The 12,006-nt window shown below is 38.2% G+C and overlaps 1 protein-coding gene across 10 annotated transcripts in view; it reads right to left on the bottom strand.

The window, feature by feature from the left end:
• The window catches only part of TMEM182 (transmembrane protein 182), a 106,904-nt gene that overhangs the window by 62,254 nt on the left and 32,644 nt on the right, over nucleotides 1-12,006 (bottom strand). The window contains exon 4 of one of the 10 annotated variants that reach the window (XM_006712288.4): nucleotides 4,964-6,455. The exons of the other annotated variants lie outside the window; for them this stretch is intronic. Coding sequence (XP_006712351.1) covers nucleotides 6,445-6,455 — 11 coding nt within the window. The 3' untranslated portion in view covers nucleotides 4,964-6,444. Of the gene's footprint in view, nucleotides 1-4,963; nucleotides 6,456-12,006 lie in introns of those variants that run through there. 10 annotated transcript variants of the gene reach the window in all.

The following is a 12,006-nucleotide window of genomic DNA, read 5'->3' as shown; positions in this document are numbered from 1 at the left end:
AACAATGGAGCATCCTAGGGCTCAGTCCTTGGACTGATCTCCCTTCTCTCTGCACTCATTCTCACATGGTTTAGTCTTATCCCACAGCTTTATAACCTCCATGCCATGACGCTTAAATGCACAGTTCCTGCCCAGACCTCCACCTTCAACTCCAGACTCTGCAATCCAAAAGCCTACAAAACTCCACTATGTATCTTAAATGTAACATGTTCAAAAACTGCAAATCATCTTCTTAAAACTCAGCTCAACCTCGGTCTTCCTTCTCTATCTCTACTAATAGCAACTCCATCCCTCCAATTGCTAAGGACAAAAAAGAGTCATTAATGACTGCTCTTTCCCTTACACCCCATACCCAGCCCATCAGTCAATCCAGTCAGCTGTTCCTTCAGAATATAACCAGATAAAGTTAACTTCTGCTTCCAGGAAGATGAAGTAGACACACTTGACCCTATTCCTTCTAGTAAGTACAACTAATAACTCTGGACATTTCCTATAAAACAAGCATAAGAAGTCTCTAGAAGGAGGACAGCAGAAGACAGGCTGGCAAGGGACTTTGAGACCCAAGGAACAGCACTGGGTCTGGTGAGTTTCCTGAGTTTTCGTATTGCCCATGTATTTTAGACTTAGTGATGGAAAAGCCAGCAAGCCAGAATCAACAATGGTCACAGATTAAAAAACAAACAAAATGCCCATCCAAAGGACCAGGTAAAGGATAGCATGCCAAGGCAAAAAACTTTTAGAAAATAACCCCTCTACTTTGACCAAACACTACAAAATACTGCAGTCCCACCGCTACAAGCAAAAACTGAGAGTGTACACTTTCTCCTCCACAGTTTGTAACAAGGTGTCTCAACCACATCCCCTCCACACCCACAAGTCTAGGTCATATCAGAGAAAGCTGAATAAGGAGCCTGGACTTTCATCCCTGCAGGGTGGTCATGAGGTCACCCTCCACAGTGATAGTAGAGACCATATAGGGTGCTAAGACTTCTACTTCTAAGAGGTAGAAATGAGGTAGCCCCTTCTAACTAGAGTGGTGTCATAGGAGGCCTAGTGGAGGGTCAGGACCCTCACCACCCCCACTGCATAATGCCCTCCCACCACCTTTGTCAGCAGAAGCTATGGTTAGAGCTGTAATGAGGTCTTGCCCAGCGAGACTGGTATCAGAGGAAGCATCATGGGAGGCCAGAACCCTCACTAGCACTCAGCAGCAACAGGGAGCCTCTCTCTACCACAGGTAACAGAAGAGGCTTAGGGGGTGCCTGGAATTAATGAGGCAATGCCTACTCCTTCCTTCACTGGGGTAGTATGAAAGGAAGCCAACTAAAACAAAAGATTTAAATAAGATCCATAGTCTTATAATATTCAGAAAGTTCAGGCTTCAATAAAAAAATCATTAGTAATACCAAGAACCAGGAAAATCACCACTTCAGTGAAAAAGAATAAGCATTAGACACTAATGCTGAGATGTCAGAGATGATGAAATTATCTGAAGAAGATTTGGAAATAGCCATGATACAAAAAAAAAAAAAAAATCTTCAATGGCAAATGTGAAAATGCTTGAGCCAAATTTTTTTTCCCAAGACAGAGTTTCACTCTTATTGCCCAGGCTGCAGTGCAATGACGCAATCTCGGCTCACTGCAACCTCCGCCTCCTGGGTTCAGGCGATTCTCCTGCCTCAGCCTCCCGAGTAGCTGGGATTACAGGCACCCACCGCCACACCCAGCTAGCTAACTTTTCTGTATTTTTAGTAGAGAGGGTGTTTCATCATGTTGGCCAGGCTGGTCTCAAACTCCTGACTTCGGGTGATCCACCCGCCTTGGCCTCCCAAAATGCTGGGATTACAAGCATGAGCCACCACACCCAGCCTTGAGCCAAATTAAAAAAAAAAAAATAGAAAGTATGAAGAACCAAATGGAAATTTTAGAATTGGAAGATATAATTACTAAAATGAAAACATTAACATATGTGTTTTACAGCTGAATGAAGGGGACAGAGAAAACAGTAAGTTAACTTCAAGATTGAGTAATGAGAATTATCCAATCTAAAAAGCAGAAAGAAAATAGACTTAAAAAATGAACAAAAACTGACAGATCTGTAGAATTATAACAAAAGGTCTAACATTCACGTCTCCTAAATCTCAGAAGAGCAGAAGAAATAGGACAGGGCTGAAAAAGTATTCAAGGAAATAATGACTGAAACTTTCCAAAGTCATCAAAAGACATAAATCTAAAGTATTGAGGAGCTAAGCAAAGTCCAAACAGGATAAACCCAAAGAAATACACACCAAAACATGTGATAATTAAACTTCTTAAAACTAAAGGCAAAGAAAAATCCTGAAAGCAGGGATGGAGGAACAACACCTTACATAAAGGGAAAAAGAACTTGAATGACAGTGGATATTTTATCAGAAACCAGGAAGGTCAGGAAAAAGTGGCATAACATTTTTCAAGCACTAAAAGAAAAAAAAATTGTTAACCCCAAAATTTATACCTACCAAAAAATATAATTCAGTAATGAAAGGAAAATCAAGACATCCTCAGATGAATGAAAACTAAGATTTGTCACCAACAGAATTACTAAGAAGATAAAAGGAGTTTTCTAAACAAAAGCAAAATAACAGAAAAACACCAGAAAGGAAGCAAAAACAATGGAAAGAGTAAAAATATGGGTAAATACAATATATATTCTTCCTCCTAAGTTTTCTAAACAATGTTTGATGATTGAAGCAAAAAGAGTAAGATGTTGCGTGCAGTTCTCAACATATGTAGAAGAAATATGTGAGAATTATAATTGCTAGAGGGTAAAGGAACATAAAGAAGGTAAAGTTTTGCACTTTACTTACATTGGTAAATGTCAACATCGATAGACCATAATAACATGTATTTATGATGTAATAGCTAAACCGATGATTATAGAAGTTATACAAAGAGATACACTCAAGACCACTATAGATAAATCAAAACAGAATTCTAAAAATATTTCAAGTAACTCCTAGGAAGGCAGGAAAAGAAAGCGGAGAAATATAGAAGGCAAAAATCAATATGATAGAATTAAGCAATAACATATCACTAATAATGTTAAATATAAATGGTCTAAATACATCAACTAAAGGCACAGCTTCCCAGACCAGATTTTTATAAAAAAATCACCCAATTATACATTGTCTATAAGACACTCACTTCAAATTTGGTGATATAGGTAAGTTGAAGGTAAAGAATGAAAAAGTGTTATATCATTCAAATATTAATTAAAAGAATGTAGGAGTCACTATATTAATATAAGATCAAGAAGACTTCACCACAAAGAAAACTACTAAAAACATCACATATTGATAAAAAGCTCAATCTACTAAGAAGACATAGCAATCCTAAATGTGTATGTATAAAAAAAACAGAGCTATGAAATAAGTGAAGCAAAACCTGATGGAACTGAAAAGGGAGATAGACAAATCCACAATTTTAACTGGAGACTTCGACACCTCTCTCTTACTAGTTGATGGAACAACTACACAGAAAACTAGAAAATATACAGAAAAACTAGACATCATCATCAACCAACAGAATCTAACTAATCAACATTTATAGAATACAATAAAACTACAGAATATGCATTCTTTTCAAGTACCAAGGAACATATACCAATACTGATCATATCCCAAGCTGTAAAACAAATCTCAACCATTTTAAAAGAATTGAAATTATATGGATTATGTTCTTTGCCCACAATTGAATGAACTAGAAATCAATGACAGAAACGTAGTACTGGAAGTCATAGTCTGTGCAATAAGGCAAAAAAAAAAGAAAAAGAGAAAAAGAAAAAAAAAAGGAAATAAAAGACATTTAAATAAGAAAGAAGAAATAAAATTGTCCCTATTTGCAAATGACATGATTATCTATGTAGGAAATCTCCAAAAATCTCCAGAAATTTCTAGAACTAATAAGTAAATTCAGCATATTTGCAGGAAAGCAAGCTAAACATTTAAAAATCTATCGTAGTAGAAAAACGAAGACTGACACAATCCACCTTCAATACTTACTATCAAGCTAGAATAACAAAGGAATTGTAGTATTGGTAAAAGAATAAATAGATCAATGGAACAGAAAAGAGAGCCCAGAAAGAGACCTACACAAATATAATCAACTAATCTGACAAAAAGGCGAAGGAAATTCAATGGAGAAAGTCGTTTTTTCCATAAATGGTGCTGACACAATTGAAAATCCATACGCAAAATAATGAACCTAGACACAGATCTTACACCTTTCACAAAATTTGACTCAAAATAAATCATAGATCTAAATGTAAAATGCTAAACCATAAAACTCCTTGAAAATAAGGGAAACTCTAGGGAATCTTGGGTTGGGTAATGACTTTTTATATACAATACGAAAAGCATCACCCAAGAAAAAAAACAGAGACAAATTGGACTTTATTAAAATTTAAAATTTCTGCTCTGTGAACGACACTGTTAAGAAAATGTAAAGAAAAGCCACAAACTGGGATAATTTTTTTTTTAAAAACATGTATCCAATAAAGGACTGGTACTGAAAATACGCAAAGAAATCTTAAAATTCAAGAATAAAAAACCAAACAATCCAATTAGAAACTGAGAGAATTTAACAGAAGCCTCACAAAAGAAGAAATACAGATAGTAAATAAGCATGAGAAAAGATGTTCAACATCATATGTCATTAGAGAATTGCAGATTAAAACAATGAGATGCTACTACACACCTATTCGAATGGCTAAGTCCAAAAGCACCGACAACACCAAATGCTGACAAGGATATAGAACAACAGTAACTCATTCATTACTGGTGAGAATGTAAAATGGTATGGTCTCTTTGGAAGACCGCTTCGCAGCTTCTTTAAGCATGCTCTCACCATACGATCCAGAAATTGCACTCCTTGGTATTTACCCCAGAGGTGAAAACTTATGTCCACAAAAAAACCTGCACACAAATGTTTATAGAGGCTTTATTAATAATTGCCAAAGCTTACAGGCAACCAAGATGTGCTTCAATAGATGAATGCATAAACAATGATACACCCACTAATGAGACATTATTTATCACAATAAAGAAATGAACTATCATGCCATGGAAAGACATGGAGGAACCTTAAATGCACATACTAAGTGAAAGAAGCCAATCTGAAAAGGCCACATCTGGTGTGATTTTAACTATACGACATTCTGAAAAAGGTAAAACGATGAAGCAAAAAGATCAGTGGTTGCGATGGTTTGGGGGCAGAAAGGGATAAATAAACAGTACACCGAGGATTTTTAGGGTAATGAGACTAATCTGTATGATACTATGGTGGATACATGCCATTACACACTTGTCAAAACTCATTCAGTGCCTAACACAAAGAGTGAATCCTGACTTTAGTTAATAATAATGGATCAATGTTGGCTCATCAATTGTAACAAACGTACCAAGATAAAGCAAGATGTTAATAATAGGAGAAACTGTGTAGGTGGTGGGATGGGAACCCTCTGTACTTTCTACTCAATTTTTCTGTAAATATAAAACTGCCATTAAAAGTCTTATTCTTTTTTTAAAAAACTGAATTTCATTTCTATATACTAGCAATAAACACATGGAGAATGAAATTTAAAATATAATATTATTTACAATTGCTCCAGAAATTAATTCATTGGATGTAAATATAACAAAACACATAGTATTTGTGTGCTAAAACCTGCAAAATACTGATGAAAGAAATCTCCTTGAAGAGGTCCTTCACATCCCTTGTAAGTTGGATTCCTAGGTATTTTATTCTCTTTGAAGCAATTATGAATGGGAGTTCACTCATGATTTGGCTCTCTGTTTGTCTGTTGTTGGTGTATAAGAATGCTTGTGATTTTTGTACATTGATTTTGTATCCTGAGACTTTGCTGAAGTTGCCTATCAGCTTAAGGAGATTTTGGGCTGAGACGATGGGGTTTTCTAGATATACAATCATGTCATCTGCAAACAGGGACAATTTGACTTCCTCTTTTCCTAACTGAATACCCTTTATTTCCTTCTCCTGTCTAATTGCCCTGGCCAGAACTTCCAACACTATGTTGAATAGGAGTGGTGAGAGAGGGCATCCCTGTCTTTTGCCAGTTTTCAAAGGGAATGCTTCCAGTTTTTGCCCATTCAGTATGATATTGGCTGTGGGTTTGTCATAGATAGCTCTTATTATTTTGAGATACATCCCGTCAATACCTAATTTATTGAGAGTTTTTAGCATGAAGTGTTGTTGAATTTTGTCAAAGGCCTTTTCTGCATCTATTGAGATAATCATGTGGTTTTTGTCTTTGGTTCTGTTTATATGCTGGATTACATTTATTGATTTGCATATATTGAACCAGCCTTGCATCCCAGGGATGAAGCCCACTTGATCATGGTGGATAAGCTTTTTGATGTGCTGCTGGATTTGGTTTGCCATGAGGAATCAAAGAAGACCTAAATAAACAGAAGGATAAACCGTGTCCATGAATTAGAAGATTGAACATAATGAAGATACCAATTCTCCCCAGGTGGGTTTAATATAACTCATACCAAAGTGTCAGCAAGATTTTTTGTAGATATATAGACAAGATTATTCTCAAATTTATAAAGTCAAATAATCTAGACTAAATATTTAAACAAATAATCTAGACTAAGTAAAACAATTTTTTTAAAAAAGAAGAAAATAAGAAGAATCACTCTATCTAATTTCAACATTTACTAGATAGATAAATAATTAAACTGATGTGGTACTAGCAGAGGAATAGAGACATAGATCAATGAAACAGAATCCAGAATCTAAAAATTAGTCCCATACAAGTAGGATCAACTATTTTTTGACAAAAATGCAAAAGCAACTCAATGCAGGAAGGACAGTCTTTTTAACAAAGGGTGTTGGAACAACTGGACACACATCTTCAAAAAAAGAGTGAGACTCACATCTTATACAAAAATTAGCTGAAAATGTATCAGAAATGTAAGCGTAATTCATAAAACTTTTAGAAGAAAATGTGGGAGAAAAATCTGTAAGACCTAAGGAATGGCTGTAATCCCAGCACTTTGGGAGGCTGAGGCGGGCAGATCACAAGGTCAGAAGATCGAGACCATCCTGGCTAACACACGGTGAAACCCCATCTCTACTGAAAATACAAAAAAAAAAAAAATTAGCCAGGCATGGTGGCATGCACCTGTAATCCCGGCTACTCAGGAGGCTGAAGCAGGAGAATTGCTTGAACCCAGGAGGCAGAGGTTGCAGTAAGCTGAGATAGCACCATTGCACTCCATCCTGGGCTACAGGACGAGATTCTGTCACCAAAAAAAAAAAAAAAAAAAAAAGAAAGAAAGAAAGTGTAAAAAACATCAGAGAATGTGCAGAATCTGTAAAGATACATATGGACATATTTATGGTAGAAAGTATATGATGTTTGGAATTTGCTTTAAAATAATTCAGTGTGGATTATTTACATAGATTTATACAGATGTATAGATAAGATATGTTGATAATTATTACATTTGTGTGATGGTAACATATGAGTTCCTTATCTCTTTACTTCTGTGAAAATTTAAAAATTTCTAAAATGAAATAGTTTTTTAAAAAATCTAAAATTAAAAAAATTCCAGAACTGATATTTTAAAGTACATAGCAACCCATATATACACAGTTTTTTGGTGTTTTATTTTGTTTTGTTTTTTACGGGTGATGTTCATTTGATAGATTCCCTTATGGTAGTTAAATAATTTTAATAGGACTGTGTTAGAATGAGACACATTTTTACCTCCTAATATCCTGGTCCTAGTCATCTGGAATACATCAAATCTCCTAAATGGACTCTCTGATTCCTCCCTTGCCTTTCCATAGGCTGCTAATGATACAACAAGCTGGAGAGGTTATTGTATAATATGTCAGATTGGAAGCATTCATTAGTTCCCCCTCTCATCTCATTCAGAGGATGAGCCAATGTCTTTTCAATAGCTCAGCCTCCCCAGTTGCCTCTGTGACCACGTCTTCTAAGCTCCCCTCACTTGCTCTTTGCCAGCTGTCCACTTCGCTTCTGTTGTTGTCACCCATCAAGTATGCCCTGACCTCTGAGCCTTTGCAGTGTTCCCTCTGTCTTGAACACCCTTCTTCTCATTGCATGGCTCGCTCCCTCGCTTTCTTCTGGTTTCCACTCCAATGTCAGAGATGTGCTTTCCCCTGGCCACATTACAGAGCTCTTATTTATATCCACCCCCTTAGTCCCCAGCCCTGTCCATGTCTTAGGTTTCTCCAGAGCACTTATCATCTTCTAACTACTGTGTAATCGGCCAAGCTATGTTGCTTCATCTGATTCCCCTCACCCAAATGTCAGCCCCCTGAGGGCAGGAACTTTTATCCTTTTTTTTTTGGACTACTGTTCCCCAGAACCTAAAATAAGTGTCTGGCATATAGTATGTGCTCAAAAAATATTTGTTGAATAAATTTTAATCACAATTACCAGCTAAAGAGTGGCATATCTTGGTCAGTACAGATGGCATAATATTAACTACCATGTACTAGGATGACAGTGATAATGACAATAATGAACATGTGTCTATGAAGCACTAACTCTTGGCTGGAAAGTCTGCCAAATGCCTTATGTGGACACACACACACACACACACACACACCCTTCAGAGAGCAGAAAGTGTTTCACTAGGGAGAAGCTGTGATGAATTTATGTGCCCTAATGATGTCTTATTTTTGGTGCTCTAAATTGGTATATCATCATAAGAATAGCTGACATTTATTGAATACCAACTACATGGCAACGACTCCGCCAAGCATTTGTATTATGATGTCTTTTCATTTTGAAAACAACTGTGAGGTTGAAACTATTCTTATCTCCCTTTTACAAACCTGTTTGTGGAGATTAAGAAGCCTGCCCGAGTGTTCTTAAGACAAAGTGATGGCACCAGGTGATGAAGGCAGACCGGAAGCCCAGCTTGTACCCCCATAGAACCCTTACCATGAGCCAGTCCCTGTGCTAAACACTCTACAGCATCTATCTAGTCCCCGAAAGAAGGACTAGAGGAGCTTCCAAAATAGCTCATGGGATGGCAGGACCCACATTCAACCCAGCGATGTCTATCTCAAAACAAACCTCGTCTGTTCATGAGGCCTCCCTGGTCACCCTACTCAGTGTGGAAGTCCCCTCCATACACACACACCCCTCTCATCTTTTACTTTCTTCCAAGTGCTTGACTGACTTATTGTTTATTTTTAGCCTCCCCGCTATAATGAAAGCCCCACGAGGGCAAGAATTTAGGGCTGATTCTGAAGCATCCAGAACAGTGCTCAGTATACAGCAGGCACTCAATAATTGCTTTTCCCTGGTTCTAGTTGATGCTCTCTCCTAAGAAAAGGTCCAAAGTTTCAGGCAGAAGCCATAATGCTTCAAGATAAGAGAGGCCCAGACAGCTCCTTTCTCCTTCGGGGTTTGAATACCCTGCATGAAAGAAGGCAGTGGAAGGAAGCTATTCTTGTGTGTGTTTGGGCCCAGACCTGGAGCTGAGCACACAGTGTAAGCAGTATGAGTATAATTTCAAAGAAGATCCTGGGCCTGGGTTAGAAGTTTTGGGACTAAATGTCTAGATGGCCTCAGTGATTTTCATTAGAGGGTGATTTTGTGCCCACCCACACCCAGGACACCTGGCAATGTCTGGAGGCATTTTTAGTTATCATAACTGGGATCTACTGGGTAGAGGCAAAGGGGTGCCACTAAACATCCCACAATACACAGGACAGTCCCACAACAAAGAATTATCTGGCCCACAATGTCCACAGTGTGAAGGTTGAGAAATCCTGCTGTACACATCAGGAGTTCCTAGCGTGAGAGGAGATTTCTGCTTCTAAGTGTGGAAGGCATTTTCAGGGATCTCCTGAAGCCTCCATGGAGGTGGAAGCCTGTCCTTTGCAAAGGGAACCCAGGCCATGCTGCTGGGATAATCACAGGTCTTGTTTTCAGAAAGCGATTGCCTCTCATCGTTGCAGGGATATTACATAAACTGCCAACCAATTCTCAGAAGCCCACAAATAAATTGTACAGAACACAAAATGGCACTCTCTGAAAAAAGGTGATTTTTAAGTACGGCCTTGATGTTGTGCCCTAGAACTTTCAAGCCAACTCTACCCTCAAGAGCTGGAGTGTGTGGAAGCCCAGTGAGCCACTCTGGGAGTGGCCCCAAGCCTGCATGCAATGGAGCCTGGGCTGGGGTCCCAGATGAAAGTCAGCTGTTATTCAGGAACTGCAGCCACTCCTGTAACGTGATACTGTGTCTGTGGTGATGGCTGTGTGATCCCAAATGTCTGAACGAATACCAGCAAATTAAGTTGATGTTAGGCATTTCCAAATATCTAAGTACTTGACATTTATGGGAAAAGGAGGCTAAGTTGCATTTTCCATTACATTTTGTGGTGCATAGTTTTTTCTAGCTAACTAAAACACAGTGGAAGTATTTGGAGTGATTTGCTGTATTTAGGACAATGTCCAGAATCCCCATACATGAACACCCAAAAAACTGATAAATAAGACCCAGCTACCACAGAGTAATCGATCTGCAAGCCAGAGGTGGGGGTATCTCAATGAGATTAGATACCTACAACAGGTTGATGTGCCTCCTAAATTATTTAAGAATTTACATTTTTATAAACTCTAGACTCAAATCTTAATTCTTCCTGTGCTGTTTCAAACTGCCAAATGTAAGGACATTCATGTTTGTAGTTTATTTTGCCTTGCATGGTAAAGCAAGTTGTTGTGTGTGGATGTGGCTGTTTTTATAAGGACTCTGTACCCTCTGCCATGCTGTGCTCTGTTGGTGGCTATTCCAAGCCGCAGTGTTGGCTGATTGAAAAGGTCTCTACTTCCTCACTGCTCACTCCCCAAGCATCCGTGTGCGGTTTCACATTCCCATCATTCTGATACAACCCCTTTGTGAGATCACTGCTGTCTAACCTCTCTTCCTGTGAGAAGAGAAGAAAGGAGGAAGCCTGAGGTAGGGTTTGGCTCTCAGGAGGATCCTCAGGTGACAAAATGTGCAGGAAAATGGAATGGGATCCCTGAGGGAGGAAGTGCATTGCAGGGTAAAGAGGACAGAGTCCTCAGGTCCTGTCTAAGAGAATGAGCAGTGAACCGGGATGGGATACACAGCAGATGATCTGGAAGTGTCAGGTGGATTTAGGATAGAAGTAGGTGCCTGGAACAAGGAGACTTTAATGGGTGTCTGTAGCTGAGCCCTTGGTGAAGACGGAGCTACTGGGCCCCAAGAACTTTTGCATCATTGGCTTATGATCCAATTCCTTCCTGCCTGCTTCTCATGTCCATTCATTCTGCGTTTGACATTGAAGACCACTGCCTCCTTCCCAAGAAAATGCACCAGACTGCTCGCTGACTTGTTTCTTAATGCTTCTTTCTCTCCCTCATTTGTGGGCTGTCTTTCTTCTTCCCTTCTTCCCCTAAGAATAATTGGTATTTTACTGTCTTCTTTCCTATGATTGTTTTCCTTAAAGATTATATTTGAAATCAAAAATCACCTCTGCAATTTCTCATCAGTATCAATGATTATAATTAATGACTTTCAGGAAAACCAGTTTTGCATATCAAGCTACTTGCTGAATGATTATTACAAACTGGTATTCCACCATCAACTCAAGTTTAATACGTCCAAACCAAAGTAAATCACCATGCTCTACTTCAAAACATGCCCCCTCCTCTTAACTCTCAGATTTCTGTCCATCTTACCAACTTTTCTTAGTCAAAAGTAATTCACAGTTTAGTACCAGTTGGCAAGCAATTTTATAGTATGGCACAATAACAACACCAAAGAAAACTTATTCCTATATTTTGAGTCACTATTCATACTTCTGAAAATATAGCCCAAAGAGTAAATACAAATTATTAAAAAATGCTACATACATAGAATTATTTTTGATGCAGAGGTAGCAACCAACATGTTTAAAATTTGAGAAATCACTAAGTAAATACATGGGGAA

The sequence above is a fragment of the Homo sapiens genome, chromosome 2 (genome assembly GCF_000001405.40).
Source record: "Homo sapiens chromosome 2, GRCh38.p14 Primary Assembly".
Classification (NCBI taxonomy): Eukaryota; Metazoa; Chordata; class Mammalia; order Primates; family Hominidae; genus Homo; species Homo sapiens.
The sequence above is the reverse complement of the archived record's forward strand: the minus strand, read 5'-3'. Positions and strand labels throughout refer to the sequence as shown.